Source organism: Homo sapiens, chromosome 8, assembly GCF_000001405.40.
Source record: "Homo sapiens chromosome 8, GRCh38.p14 Primary Assembly".
NCBI classification, from domain to species: domain Eukaryota; kingdom Metazoa; phylum Chordata; class Mammalia; order Primates; family Hominidae; genus Homo; species Homo sapiens.
Genome location: NC_000008.11, coordinates 118975058 through 118991771, shown reverse-complemented (window position 1 = coordinate 118991771; position 16714 = coordinate 118975058). Strand labels below are relative to the sequence as shown.

The window sequence follows — 16714 nt, the reverse complement described above, 5'->3', positions numbered from 1 at the left end:
TTAATATCAATTTTCTCCTTTCAGCAATATTAGCCACACAGACTCAGGATACTGAATTGGGCCACACAAGAAAATCCAGAAGTAGAAGATACAGTTGCCTCTGTCTTCCCAGAGTTTATGTTCAAGTGGAAAAGCAAAAGATAAGGGTACGAAAAGTTTTCAAAACAATGTATTATGGTGAGTGCATAGACCAGGGGTTTCGGAGCCAGACTCCACTGGTTTGCATTCTGTCTCCACCACTTCCATCCACCATTTGCAAACTCAAACCAATTACTTTCCCTCTGTAGGTTTCAGTGACTTTATCTTCAGAAGGGGAATCTACCTCTTGGGGTTGAATAAAGATTTTAATAGATATTTTTCATAAGTATTCATTTGTACCAGGGAGGATTGTGAGAAATTTCCTGGTCGTATCTCATTCGATCTTCACAGCAACTTGATGAAATGGGTACTAGTTCATTTTATTATTGAGGTAGTTAGGACACAGGGAGGTACATATTGACAAATGTCACATAGCTAGTAAGTGTTGCAGGTAGGATGCTATCTCAGGCAGTGTGGCCTTAAGCCCAGTCTCTTAACTACACAACACTGACCTCCAGATCATAAATGATATATGTGAAATTCCAGAAATATTAAAAATGCCCCCAAATAGTGTATTTATTATATGATTAATAATTTGTCAAAATAAAATTAACTAAAAACTGTTTCCTAGGCTTAAATGAAATAATAAAAGATTTTCCAAATTGTGAGAATAATACTGCCTTTGAGTACAATGAACAGCATTATGGTGTTTTGTTTTTTTTTTCTTTAATTCCCTAAAAGAAAGAGTACTAAGTATATGGAATTGACAGCATTTCCAAACTTTTTATATTCCTGCTCCTTCATGTTCTTTCCAAGGATGACTTTTAACTTGATGACTTTTCCCATTAGCTCTGGGACTCTCAGTTTGCTTTGCCCAACAAAGGTCCACAGATAAATCATACGTGGCTGACATGATTTCCTTGAAGTTCTCAGTGGTCTCATCTGCCTTGATGTGGTTCCTTTCATGGTTTCATATGGCACTTGTGGTACAGGAGTAGGCCTAAGGCCAGCAGGGTCATATTGCACCCATTTGTTTTCTCTTCAAAATGAAGATGGTGTTTAAATGAAAAATTGTGTTCCAGGAACAAATTATTTCCCTTTGAAGCTCTATCCCCTCACATGATATTTGAAGGTTTTGTGGAGAGAAATAATTTGTAATTTTACGTATTACTGTGTGTTAACTTGGTCCTCCCATTTACAGTGAAGAATGGAAAATTCAGGTCCATCTTCCTTTCTTCAGCATTAAGACAGAATCTATTTAGTGGCTTTTAGTTTTTAGAAGTCACTTTCCAAATTGTATCAGCTACACATGAATGTTTACATATATTCAAACAATGTAAGTAAAAATTATATTTCTCCCTTTTCCATTTCGATTTCCTTTCTCTTCCTAAAGGTATATTCTTCTCAGCTTTTAAAATATATTTATATGCATATACATATGTAAGAAAATATGTTGTTTTTATTGGATAATATTAGATAAAATATTTTGAGCTCAGTGACCATACAATCTATCTTGTTCTTTTTAATGACCTCAGATTCTTCAGTAGAGATGTAATACAGTTGGTTGATAAGACTTCAGTTTTTATCTATCTTTTTTCCTCTAGTGATTTGAAATTACGTACCCTATTTCAAAGCCCCAAGTTGTTATTGTTACAGTTCCACAGTATCTACATATATAGTACAGGTTGAGCAAACCAAACCCCAAAATCCAAAATTTGAAATGCTCCAAAATCCAAAACTTTTTGAGAATCAACCTGATGCTCAAAGGAAATGCTCACTGAAACATTTCAGATATTTGGATTTGGGATGTTAAACTGGTAAGCATGATAATAAAATATTTCCAAATCTGAAATCTAAAAGATTTCTGGTCTCAAGCATTTTGGATAAGGGATACTCAACCTATATGTGACATTTATTACTATCTAGAGCTAATCTGTGTATACAGCCTTCCTACACACACACACACATGCAAATTTTTAGTTGCCTTCATCCTTTCACCACAAGCTACTAACACATTGATATAATCTTAAAATTTTCAAGACTATAATTTTATTTGTTCTTCCAAGATTTTGTCTTTGGTATTCTGCAGTTTGAGTAGGTTATGGGTAGGTAGGGGTGTGTGTGTGTGTGTGTGTGTGTGTGTGTGTGTGTGTGTGTGTATTTTGTCTGTCTTTTTTTTAAATCCTGCTTGGTGTTCTCTAAGCTTACTCAATCCATGATTTGGTGTATAACATTAATTTTGGGAAACACTTGAGCATGGTTTTTGCAAGTATTTCTTCTGCTCCATTCTTTCTTTCTGGTATTCCAACTATAGGCATTACACCTTTTGATATTGTCACATAGTTTGGATTTTCTCATCTGTTTGGTTCATTCTTTATTCTCTTTGCATTTCAGTTTAGAAAATTTCTATTATCTATGTTCAAGTTCACTGATCCTGTTCTCAGCTATGTCCACGCTACTAATGAGCCCATCAGAGGCATTCATTATTTCTGTTGCTTTTTGATTTCTAGCATTTACATTTGATTCTTTCTTAGAATATCTCTCTGCTTACATTACTCATCTGTTCTCGTCTGCTATCTTATTTTTCCATTAGTGCCTTTAGCACATTAATTATAGTTATTTTAAATCATTTGCCTGATAATTCTATATCTGTGTCATATCTGAGTCGCATTCTGATGACTGCTTTGTCCCTTCAGAATGTTTTTGTTCATTGGTTGGTTTTGTTTTGTTTTGTTTTGCCTTTTGGCATGCCTTATGATTTTGTTGAAAGGCAGGCATATTGTATTGGGTAATAAAAACTGAGCTAAATGGCCTGTAGTGTGAGGATTTATGTTAATCTGGCTAGGAGTTAGATTATGTTTAATATTTGTTGTAGCTATAGGTGTCAGAGGTTTCTAATTCCTCTAGAGTTTCTGTTGTTGGCTCCCCTGTTGACTTGGGCATTTTTTATGCAGTCCTCAGAGAGTCTGTGTCATGCAGCTTTTCCAGCTATAATCCACTGTTATTATACTTGTCAGTGTGATGGTAAGGTGTGGTGAAGAAGGAACCTCCTATAATCTTCCAATTAGATCTTGGATTTTTAGTCAGTCTGTGACTCAGGGCAGTGACCTTCACAGATGTTTCGCCAGTGATGCCACTTTTTCTCTCGTCTCCTACTCCTTTCCCTGGCTGCCTCATTCCCAGTCTATTTCCTTGAAGCCTTAACTCCTGTTGATGATGTCTTTCCCCTCTTAGGTGAAACAAGAGGGTTGGAAGGGACTAGAGTGGGAAGAATTCCCTGTTTCTGGCTGTGATCAGATTTCAGAATTGCTCTCTGCTAAAGACTTTCACATGGAGACTACGTCTTTGTTAGAGAGAGGAGTTGGACACATTTCTCAATACTTACTCTCCCCTACCCCTGTCTCCACCGCCAGAACCCTAAGGGGATCTTTCCCAGATCCTCATGATGAGAATCTGATAATATTCCTGGAAGCAAAACCCACAAACTTTTAGGAAACCCCTAAGATTGGGGTCCCTAATAGTTTCTTACTCATGCTAGTTCACAGTCAGCCTTCAACAACTTATCAAATTTACCATTTAATGGTTCCACCAGTCTATGGCTCCAGCAGCTTCTTTTCCAGGTGAACAGATCTCAGCTCGATCTCTCTGGATGCACCTGTCTCTCCAGATTTTGGGGTGGTTTGCCATGAGCCCCTGGTTCTCTGGTAGAACCAAACATGCGTTGATTTTTAGTTTGTTCAGCTTTTATTGTTCTAAGGACAGGAGTGATGACTTCCACACTCTACCTGTTGGTGCTGAAACCAAAGACTATTTATTATTTTTATAAAAAGTTTTATCAGTTTCTTTGCTTATCATGCTCCTGATAAAACACATCGAAGATTTTTAAATATTTTGGTGAAATATAACTTTAATAAGCTTTTCAGATAGGATTATGGGTAACAAATATCCTAAGTCCAGGAATGTCTACATCTATCTTTATTCTGCCATTCACATGAATGATAGTGGTCTAGACATAAAATTCAAGGCTCAGATTTTTTTTTCTCAACACTTTGAAGATATTGTTTAAATGTTTTCTTGAACTCAGTGTTTTTAATGAGGAGTATGTAATCAGTCTTTCTTTTTTATTTTTTGAGACAGATTATCACCCCGTTTCCCAGGCTGAACTGCAGTGGTGCGATCTCGGCTCACTGCAACCTCAGCCTCCTGGGTTCAAGAGATTTTCATGCCTCAGCCTCCCAAATAGCTGGGATTACAGCCCTGTACCACCACGTCTGGCTAATGTTTGTGTTTTCAGTAGAGACAGGGTTTTGCCCTGTTGGCCAGGCTGGTCTCAAACCCCTGGCCTCAAGTGATCTGCCCACCTCAGCCTCTCAAAGTTCTGGGATTACAGGTGTGAGCCACTGCACCCAGCCTGGTTATCAATCATTCTTGCTCCTTTGTAAGTTGTCTGCTTTTCTCTCCAGAAACTTCTAGAATTTTCTCTTCACATGTGAAGTTCTAAATTTCCACTTACAATATATCGAGGTGTGGGTTTGTTTTTTTTGTTTTCACTCTCCAGGAACAGTTCCGCAAGCATTCCCAAGTGTCTCTCAGAGACGAGACAAAGTATTCGCCTCTCTTCCCCTGTTGCTTTTTCTTTTTTTAAAGGTGAAATTCACATAACATAAAATTAATCTTTTAAAAGTGCATAGTTCAATGGTACTTAGCATACTATATTGTGCAACCATACCCTCCATTTAGTTTTAAAACATTTCAACACCCTAAAAGAAATCCCCTTACCCATTAAAACATCTGTCCCCATTCCTTCCACATCCTATACCTGAAAACTACCAATTTTCTGTGTCTATAAATTTACCTGTTTTAGGTATTTCATGTACATTGAATCATACAATATGTATGGCCTTTTGTGACTGGCTTCTTTCACTTATCATAAGGCTTGGAAGGTTTATCCACAATGTAGAATGCATCAGTACTTCATTCACTTTAATGGAGAAATACTATTTTATTGAGTGTACATAAATATATTTTGTTTATCCATTCATCTGTTTATGGACATTTGAGTTGTTTCTACATTTTGGCTTAGATGTGGGTCTTCTTTTCATTCATCTTTTTGGCATCCAAACATTACTTTCAATTTTATAATCTATTTATTTTCCTTAGCACTGTAAAATAATTTTTATTGTTTCTTTGAATATTTTATTCCATCCATGCTCTTTATGTTCTTTTGGAATTCTAACAGGTTTATTTAGAATGGTTGGACGTTGGTTTTCTTCTGCATTTTCAATCACATTGTTCTCTTTTCCTGAGTACAGAAAATGTCTCAATTCAATTTATAACTCTTCAGTGAATGAACTTTTATGTTTATTCTGCTGCTCAGAGCATCAGATGCATTCTTAAATTTCAAGGGCCAGATTTTGAATTTCCAATCTCTACATCTGTTTCTTTTCTATAGATATAATATTGCTCCATATCTTTACTAGTTATAAACTTTTGTTAAAGTCTTAATTTGTCATTTCTAGTAACTTCATGGTATGTTTGTATTTGCTTTGGTTTTGTTTGGAGTTTTCATTGTATTAATATTGATATTCATCATTAAATTAGATTTCCCCAACTTTTGGTGATTCTTGACCATGGGATCATCATGACTAGAGAGTCTGTCACGGAGCCTTTCTATAAGTGCTGCATTTGTTTACTGCACTCTGGCTCCAAAGATGGTAGTGGAGTAGTTGCCTCTTCTGGTCACTGCTTGGCATAACTGATTGTTGAAAGACGGTGAAAACTTCAGATCGGAACTGCTATAGGTCTCTAGTCAAACCCCTGATATGCACTTCAGGGCCCTTACCTGACAATCTTATTTACCACCACCCAGCTTGGAGTAACTATGAGTCCTCTTCCACCTGGAATGTGTTTGGAGCTATGCTTTTGACTCTAGGTTTCTCTTCCTTCAGGATTTCCTAATAATTTCTAGACCACTGATTTTCTTTATCTCTTTCTTCAGGATTTCCTAATAATTTCTAGACCCCTTTATTTTCTAGAACTGTATGTTATATCTGGGGACCAAGAGAGGGAGAAGGAGGCTTGAGCACATGTTCAATCTGCCCTTTGGACCCAGTGAATGTATATCTTATAACATATGTGGAAAGGAGAGTACATCCTCATAAATCCCTGTTTAAATCACCTTTTTTTTTAAAATAACACATTTACTCAACAACTGCCCTAGGTAAGATTTACACCAGGCTCAGAAGCCGCTTTTTTCTCTCATACTCCTGCACAATAGAAACTAGAACGAAAAATTATGAAATTTCTCAGACCTTCTTACAAAATTAGTGATCATCGCAGAATCATGAAGAAAGAGGTTTTGCAGAATGGTGGGCAATCAAATACTCCTTACCAATTTTTTTTTAAGGAGGACCTGAATTCTTCAAATTATCAAATGACTACCATATTCATTTCCTAGGGCTGCTATAGCAAAGTTCCATGAACTTGGTGGCTTCAAACAACAGAATATTCTCTCACCATTCTGGGAGCTAGACATCCAAAATCAAGGTTTTGGAAGGGCCATGCTCTCTCTGAGGGTACAGGGAACTATTCTCCTGACATGGTTTGGCTCTGTGTCCCCCCCACCCCAAATCTCATCTTGTAGCTCCCATAATTCCATGTGTTGTGTGAGGGACTCCTTGGAAAATGATTGAATTACCAGGGTGGGTCGTTCCCGTGCTGTTCTCGTGATAGTGAATGGGTCTCACGAGATATGATGGTTTTAAAAAATGGGAGTTGCCCTGCACAAGCTCTCTTATCCTGCCACCATCCACGTAAGATGTGACTTGCTCCTCCTTGCCTTCCGCCATGATTATGAGGCTTCTTCAGCCACATGGAACTGTGAGTTCTCTATTAAACCTCTTTTCTTTGTAAATTGCCCAGTCTTGGGTATGTCTTTATCAGCAGCATGAAAACAAACTAATATACCTCCCTTTCCTTTTCCTAGGCTCTGGTGGTTTTTGGCAATTCTTTGTGTTCCTTGGCTTATAGACACATCAGTCCAATCTCTGCCTCTATCATCACACGGTGCTTTCCCTCTGTGACTCTGTGTCCAAATATCCCTCATATCAAAACACGAGCCACAGGATTAGGATCTACATAATCCAGTATGACCCTAATCCAGAATGGCCTCTTCTTCATTTGATTACATCTTTATTTATTTAACTTTTATTTTAGGTTCAGGGGTACATGGGCAGATTTGTTATGTAGGTAAACTCATGTCATGGGGGTGTGTTATATAGATTATTTCATCACTCAGGTACTAAGCCTAGTACGCAATAGTTGTTTTTTATGATCCTCTCCCTTCTCCCACCCTGTACCCTCAAGTAGGCCTCAGGGTCTGTTTTTCCCTTCTTAGTGTCCACGTGTTCTCATTATTTATCTCCCACTTATACGTAAGAACATATAGTATTTGGTTTTCTGTTCCTGTGTTAGTTTGCTTAGGATATGGCCTCCAGCTCCATCCATGTTGCTGCAAAGGACATGATCTCATTTTTTTTTTAATTACTATATGGTATTCCATGATGTATATGTGCCACATTTTCTTTGTCCAGTCTACCACTGATGGACATTTAGGTTGATTCTATGTCTTTGCTATTGTGAATAGTGTTGCAATTAATACATTATGCATGTCTTTATAGTAGAACAATTTATATTCCTTTGAATATATACCCAGTAATGGGATTACCAGATTGAATGGTAATTCTGTTTTAAGGTCTTTGAGGAATCATCAAACTGCTTTCCACAATGGCTGAACTAATTTACATTCCCACCAGCAGTGTTTAAGCATTCCCTTTTCTCTGCAACCTCACCAGCATCTGTTATTTTTTTATTTTTTAACAATAGCCATTCTGACTGGTGTCAGATGGTATCTCATCATGGTTTTGATTTGCATTTACCTTATGATTAGTGTTGTTGAGCATTTTTTCATATGCTTGTTGGCTGCATGTAAGTCTTCTTTTGAAAAGTATCTGTTCATATCCTTTGCCCACTTTTTAATGGGGTTGTTTTTTGCCTGTAAAATTGTTTAAATTCTTTATAGATTCTGGATTGATTACAGCTTTAAGAGCCCTATTTCCAAATAAGGTCCTATTCACAAGTTCCAGGGGTTAGGACTTCAATGTGTCTTCTGAAGGGACACAGTTCAACACATAATAATTATTCTGGATGATTTTATTAAGAGGTATCTATGAGCCTCCATAAAATAAGCCCATGTGGTTGCTGGGAAGCAGACTGGGTTCATGAAGAGTATGTCATGTGATATCTGCTTTAACATATCACACTGACACTGTAAATGTAACTCCTCCCTATCTTCACTAGCCTTCAAAGTCTCATATAAGAATCAAAGAAATATAAACAAAAGGAGTAAAAATCTATACTAGCCTTTGAAATTCGGGAAGGATTTTATGCATTCCAGTAGACACAAGAGTGGATTGAAATAACTGATCAGTTGAGGTGTCAACAAAGGAAAAGCTCATTAGGAGAAAAAATCAAAAGGATCTCACTCTAATTCTGTGGAACACCAAAATACTGCTAAGTTCAGAGCAACGGCTCAGAGCAACAGCAAAGATGTAGGACATCCATTGTAGAACACATCTCCATTCTACCAGCATTTCATGCAAACAGCACCATGATGACACAAGAAGCATCGTGGACTGCATATGTTCAACCCAAGCTGTAACCACATGGCTAGCTGGCTAAATAAATCAGAGGATGGTGTGGTTGGTGCACTGAGATCCACAGCTCCAAGAGCCAGCTCCACCTCTTACTCACCACCTTCATCAAGTAGATATTCAAGGAAGAACACTCACTGGAACATAGATGTACAGAATCCGCAAAGATCTGAGCAAAATATCCTGACCAGGTTCTGGTAATTGTGGAAAAGCTCTCAGGCTCTCAGGCTGTTAACACTGACAACCAGAGGAAGTTGGGTCCAGTTGATGCCACTGTAGCTCATTTAATATGAATCACCAGGAAAAGGATTCAGCTTCCTTCTGAAAAGGAGATCTTCCTGTTTGTGAACAAGACAGTCCCATAGTCCAGCCTAACTATGGGACAGCTTTTCAGAAGGAAAAAGATGAAGATTGATTCTTGTATGTTCTGGCCTACAGCACTTGGAACATTTTGGGCTTCTGAGGGCCATTAGATGTGTAGGTGCACCGTTCCTGTTTGTGTATCTTGTAAACAGCCAGCCATTTTCAGTTATTATACCAGAACCTATTCACATAGATGAACAAGTGCATTTGTACCTGGATTTATTTCATAATATTTTGAAAGATTTGTTTCTTTAGACAAATTATCATGTAGAGTTTCATTTTGAGTTTTTCTTTTTGTGCACTGTCCTCATGGCTTTATTCTTGAGGGAACTTGTTCTTCTGAAAACCATATTTAAGGAAATTATTTCCAGATTGAAGGGAGGTAGGTGTAGCATTAAAGTGAAAGGGAAGGAGATGATACCTTTATTCTGGATTATATGTGAAGCATTAGATAGGTAAGTATTAAAAGAATATAATTAAATCCTTAGCAATCAGAACACTTGCTTCCCCAGATTTTGCCAACTGCCAATCATGTCGGACTGAGCTAGTCTGTTCTTCTTCCTGAAATTACTAAGGTAAATAATTAACAATAAAACTATCTTTTATAAAGTCAAAAAAAAAAAGTAGGGGTGATGCCATGGCAGAGTCATACGGAGAATAGATGTGTCAGGAAACACATAGCTAACTTCAGCTGGCACAAACCCTTCATCACACTAGGAGGACCTCCAGGAAGTCATTGTTTCATGCAAATCCTTCGCAACTCACCAGAGAACTGAGAAAACGGGGTTTAATCAATCTTAAATGTTTTCTTATCCCATCACCTGGGCCTAAAATACATCAATAGCAGGATTCAAACATCTCTGACCATATCAGATTCAATTGCTGAACAAAATTTGTTTTCTCTATTCCATCAGGATAAGCAAAACACTAATCTTTGGATATATAAAGTAACTTTAGTTTCAAATAGGGAAAACAATTCAATGACTTGATGGAAATGCCCCCTGAAGAAATAGAATTACTACAGCAAACAGAAGATAAATTTATAGAATATTTGAATATCTCATTTTTACCCAAGGTTAGAAAATATACCACACAATTTATTTTTAAAAAACCTAGGATAAAATATACATTTTATTAAATTTAAGTATAACCATTGGGAGATAAAAATGTGTATAGTATTCCTAAAAGCATTAAAAGTGTAAAATAACTAGATAAATTGATAAATTTTTTTAAACAAAATAAAAATTGAGAAATAGACATAGGGAAGCAACATAACTGAAAATTAAATTGCAGTAATGTAAAGGATATCACAGAGCTCAGTTTGGTGCCCATGATTCTGCAGATAGTTTTAAAAAGCATGGTGTTTGTTTTCTTGTTTGTTTTAAACCAAGAGTATAGATATGTTTTGTTTGTTGCAGTGTTGGTTTCATTGCTTGCTTTAGTTGAATTTGTCACTTTGAGGCGGAACCCACAGAAGAGCTTAGCCAGGCCCCACCACTCCCTATTGTGTTATAACCACCTGATTTACACTTTTACTCCAACTAACAAGACCCTGTAGGCAAACACTGCTAGGAAATATATATATATATATAGGAAAACTACCACTATAAACATTGCAAAGAAATATATGGTACCTTGAAATAAGTTAGACAAAAAAATGCTCAGGGTCAATATGAAGAAGTAACAAAGTTTGCCCTAGATGTGAAAAACAAACAATCCACCCCCCTGCAAACAAAAACAAAAACAAAAAAACACACATTTGAGCCATAGGAAAATATACAATTTACATAATGGGAAGACCATCTTTTTTCACATATTAAACTACAAATGAAACTTCTACAATCAATATGTCAACTGAATTTTTGAACGTGTCTATAAGTATTTTTAAAGTTTACCATAAATAAAGATTTCATTTCTAAGTATATGGAAAATGGTACTATCTTGAACAACATACTTCAAGAAAGCTAAGACAATACATAAAATCACCTGAGTAGAAGCAAAATTTTATTTAAAAAAATCAATTGCTACTTATAACAACTCTTAATAAACTACAAATATAATGGAACTTCCTTAACTTGATGACAGGTATAAAAAAAATAAGACTACAGCTTAAAGAATGTTTAATGGGGTTGGGGATGTTGGTTCACGCCTGTAATCCTAGCCCTTTGGGAGGAAGAGACCGGCAGATCACCTGAGATCAGGAGTTCGAGACCACCCTGGCCAACATGGTGAAACCTCATCTCTACTAAAAATACAAAAATTAGCCAGCCATGGTGGTGTTCGCCTGTAATTCCCGCTACTTGGGAAGCTGAGGCATGAGAATCTCCAGGAGGTGGAGGTTGCAGTGAGCTGAGATGGCCCCGTTGCAAACCAGCCTGGGCTACAGAGAAAAACTGTCTCAAAAAAAAAAAAAAAAAGAATGTTTTATGGTACTAAAAAGATCTCCCGATGATCTTTATTTCCTGGTGTTCATGCCTTTGAGTAATCCTTAATGGTTGTCTAACCTTATTGACTCATTTCTAATTAATAAAATATGGCAGAAATTATATGACTTCTGAAATTAGGTTGTAAGAAGACTGTGGCTTTTGTCTTGGGCTCTATCTCTCTCTCAGATTACTCACACCGGGGAAGCAAGCTGCCAAGTTCTGAGCAGCCTTATGAAAGACAAGAAACTGAGACCATCAGTCCAACAACCCATGAGGAACAGAAGTCTGCCAACACTCATGTGAGTGAGCTTAAAATTGGACTCTTCAACTTGATCAAATTTTAAGATGTCTGATGGTATGGTCTGGCTGTCAGCTTGACTGCAGCCTCACAGAATTCAAGCTAGAAAGCTATTCCAGACATATTTATTTCTAATAAATTCATTTCTGTCTGTCTGTTCATGCATCCATTCTTGTATATTTATATAGACATGAACAATACTTGAAATGACATTTAACTAATGTAATGATGACAATTTCCAGCTCTTGAACACTGGGATGATGGTTGCCTATTTGTAATTTGTGGAATGATTAAATTCTTTATAACAAGCATATTTACAAAATATTAGTTTTATGTTTACAAACATATCAGAGTAATTTGAAAAAAAACTGAAAACAAATATGCCACAATGTTAGCAGCTAATTCTAGGTGGAAAGTTATTATTATTATTATTATTGTTTACCTTACTGTATTTTAATAATGTCAAAAATTTGTACATCTATAATAGTCACTTTCTATTTATTAAAAGAGGAATTTATGGAATATTGGATGTCATTACACGTAATAAAGTTAAAATAATAAAATAAATGTCCAAAAAGTAGAGAGAACAAATAAAGGTCTGAGTTTACATAAGGGTTTGGTACTTGATTTAAAGTGACAGTTCTAAGTGGTGGAGCTTCAATGAGCTGTTTCATAAATGCTTAAAAAAATAACCATTTGGAAAAAATATCAAATGATCTTACTTTATACCATATAATAAAATGCATTTCAAATAGATTAAAGATTTAAATATAAAGGCAATAAAATAAATCACAAAGCCACTAAAGGAAAATTTGAGTATTTTATATAAACTTTGTGAGCAAATCTTGTAAATTACTTTAACAAAGGCATGAAAACTACTTAAATTTAAAACATCTCTGTGTCAAATAACACCATAAATAAAATCAGAAGATAAGCGACAAACTGGTAAATTAGATTTGTAAAATAAGAATGATAAAATGATTTTCCAAATTCATAGTTTTAAAAATGCCTAAGTGATAGAAAATATGACAGAAAAGTTGAAAGGCATGGATGAGAGGTTTATCTGGTATTTATAAGCATATGGCAAAATGGGCTTTTGTATACTGTTGGTGGGAGGGTAAATTGGTATACCTATTTCAGAAGCAATTTAACACTGTCTATCTAAATTTTATATGCAAATACATACCTTTTGCCTCAGCAATCAGAACATATAAAACTATATAGAATCATATACATATATGTGTATATATATAATGCAAGGTGATTTATGTTCAATAAATAAATTACAGTAATATGAACTTACAGATATATTTTTAAAACTGCATAGAGAACAAAAATGCAAATAGTTATCTTGGAAGAGGTTTTTTAAGGAAAAAAAAAGCAGCTTTTATCCAATGTTTGACAGGCTGTCATTTATTGGATAAGCATTCAACTGTGACTCCCCAGATGGTAAACAAGAATAAGAATGATCTTAGGAAAATATAATCAAAAATGTCCTGGAAATTGAAAATTTTTGAGTTTGATATTTGGGACCTTTTCAAATTTTGGTTGGATATTTGAGACTTCTAATTTGACAAAATGAAGAGGTCCTTCAGTGGTTGAGGAAATGTGACACCATATTGACTTACTGTAATTACCCTATTATAACTTATTTTGATAAAATTGATGTTTTGCGACTTCCCTTGAAATACTTGAATTATGAAATCAGAAGTTAAAAATCATATTCAAATGTGCATTAGAAGGAAAGAAACAATGAACTTGATTTTATCTTTGGCTCTATCCTGTCAACTTATATGAAATTGGTATGAGTCTCCTCCATTCAATCCATTTTGTAATTTGTAAAATCAGTGTGGGTTAATTTTTTTATGTCTTCCTAGTTCTTACGTCTTTCTATTAAGTACCCTAACTAGCGACTGGGGCTTTATGTTTGACCCTGGAAGGATTTGTGCAACCATAAGAGGGCAGCATTCCATTTACACAATATCTTACACAATTTCCTGTAGATGCTCAGTACAATAAAATCACAGGAGTGTGAGACTGGTACAGCACTTGCTAGTATTAACAACCTAAGGGCTATGTTAGGAAAAGTAATTTGTATATATATATATTTTTTTTAGTTGATTATTTATTTATTTATTTATTTATTATTATTATACTTTAAGTTTTAGGGTACATGTGCACAATGTGCAGGTTACATATGTATACATGTGCCATGCTGGTGTGCTGCACCCACTAACTCGTCATCTAGCATTAGGTATAACTCCCGATGCTATCCCTCCCCCCTCCCCCCACCCCACAACAGTCCACAGAGTGTGATGTTCCCCTTCCTGTGTCCATGTGTTCTCATTGTTCAGTTCCCACCTATGAGTGAGAATATGCGGTGTTTGGTTTTTTGTTCTTGCGATAGTTTACTGAGAATGATGATTTCCAATTTCATCCATGTCCCTACAAAGGACATGAACTCATCATTTTTTATGGCTGCATAGTATTCCATGGTGTATATGTGCCACATTTTCTTAATCCAGTCTATCATTGTTGGACATTTGGGTTGGTTCCAAGTCTTTGCTACTGTGAATAATGCCGCAATAAACATACGTGTGCATGTGTCTTTAAAGCAGCATGATTTATAGTCCTTTGGGTATATACCCAGTAATGGGATGGCTGGCTCAAATGGTATTTCTAGTTCTAGATCCCTGAGGAATCGCCACACTGACTTCCACAATGGTTGAACTAGTTTACAGTCCCACCAACAGTGTAAAAGTGTTCCTATTTCTCCACATCCTCTCCAGCACCTGTTGTTTCCTGACTTTTGAATGATCGCCATTCTAACTGGTGTGAGATGGTATCTCATTGTGGTTTTGATTTGCATTTCTCTGATGGCCAGTGATGATGAGCATTTTTTCATGTGTTTTTTGGCTGCATAAATGTCTTCTTTTGAGAAGTGTCTGTTCATGTCCTTCGCCCACTTTTTGATGGGGTTGTTTGTTTTTTTCTTGTAAATTTGTTTGAGTTCATTGTAGATTTTGGATATTAGCCCTTTGTCAGATAAGTAGGTTGTGAAACTTTTCTCCCATTTTGTAGGTTGCCTGTTCACTCTGATGGTAGTTTCTTTTGCTGTGCAGAAGCTCTTTAGTTTAATTAGATCCCATTTGTTAATTTTGGCTTTTGTTGCCATTGCTTTTGGTGTTTTAGACATGAAGTCCTTGCCCATGCCTATGTCCTGAATGGTAATGCCTGGGTTTTCTTCTAGGGTTTTTATGGTTTTAGGTCTAACGTAAAAATATGGAACGCTTCACGAATTTGCGTGTCATCCTTGCACAGGGGCCATGCTAATCTTCTCTGTATCGTTCCAATTTTAGTATATGTGCTGCCGAAGCGAGCACAGTAATTTGTATATTTTAAGTACAAGTATATAAATTTATCTCAACTATAGTCAAAGGAAAGTCACATTACAATTTCTCTGGCTGTCAGGCTTGCATTTATTTAAAACAAGGAGACTACTCTTTAATCCCACCAGTACTGTGGCATATGAAAACACATATGTCAACCCAACTAAGTGAGGACACTCTAGGACTAGGATGCAGGCTTAGAAAGAGTTACTTTTTATGTATTTTGTGTAAACTACAAAGTACATGATTGCAACTAAATGTTCAAAACCAGTGTTATTTCCCACATCAAAACCATATTTCAATAGCTAGAGGTGAAGTGGGAAAATAAAAGAGGATAAGTAGCTATTATAATTGAACATGAATTTATTTGGATACTACCTGGCTGTCAGCACATTTTTAAAGGAGTGAAAGGCTTAGAAACTGTAATTAAGGTATTTCAAACATTTAAAGAAACTGGATATGTATTTTTGAAACAACAAAAGATAATTGATGAAAGATAGATTCTCCTTACAATGAGAGGGAGTCCAAATTTTTTGAATCAGTTTCCCAATTCTTAGCTACTTTATCTACCTTATAAGCTCAACACCTGACAAAGATAGAAGGACCCAGAAGCCTGGTCAGCTCAAGGTCACGGTAAGAAATTCGTGGTTTACAGAATTAACACTACCTTCTTTCCTTCTATTCTTAACAGTGGTTCACCATCACCTGGTCATTCTTCCTCTACTTCAGGGTTGGAACGTTCACTTTTCTCTCTCCTTGACATTCAGTTCTTCCTTCCTTATACAATGTTGAAGTATCTTATCACTCTCTTAGGAAATCACCTCTCTCCTCTAATAGAGAGAAGGCAAGATTAATAGTTTGGAAAAGAAGAATCCAAGCCACTGGAAAACCCAGGAGACCTTACCAGTTATAGGATCTGTCCATGCCTAAAGGACAATCTGTCTCCCTATTGGCCTAAAAGAGTGTCGAAATAATTCATTTGACTCATTTCCAATAACTGAATTTCATCACATTCATTAAAATATACAGTATCTGACAATAATGAAGTGAATGACACAATGAGTTATATGCCTTTTCCCTGAAAAGAACATTTACACAAGAAACTTAGTCACAAAAATTGTCCGTAAGATAACATAGCAGAATTTACAAGTTGAGGGAATTTAGAAATGCTGTGTAAGTTTGCACTTTAACACAAGACCTGAGCAAAGCCATGCCTGAAAACAAACAACAAAAAGTTATTTGATTACAGATGCTTTTCTAATTTCACTCTGACTCCATTTAAATATTTAATATCTATTCTGATGTAGTGTTAGGATGTTAATAAAATGTAAATCGCTTTCATCCTGACCTTCTGTTTTATTGTTTCTCCTCAGCTTTTATTACTGAATCATTATTGCTATGGAAATGTTAACTTCCTGTTTGTATTTCTGAAACCCCGAAGGGCATGGA

At 36.0% G+C, this 16714-nt stretch overlaps 1 protein-coding gene and 2 pseudogenes across 2 annotated transcripts in view; 1 reads left to right on the top strand and 2 right to left on the bottom strand.

Annotated features, from left to right (window-relative positions):
• COLEC10 (collectin subfamily member 10) overlaps positions 1-16714 on the bottom strand; it is a 156193-nt gene that overhangs the window by 116684 nt on the left and 22795 nt on the right. The gene's annotated exons all lie outside the window — the stretch shown is intronic.
• LOC100286746 (GABA type A receptor associated protein like 2 pseudogene) lies at positions 8831-9765 on the top strand (annotated as a pseudogene).
• RNU6-12P (RNA, U6 small nuclear 12, pseudogene) lies at positions 15154-15259 on the bottom strand (annotated as a pseudogene).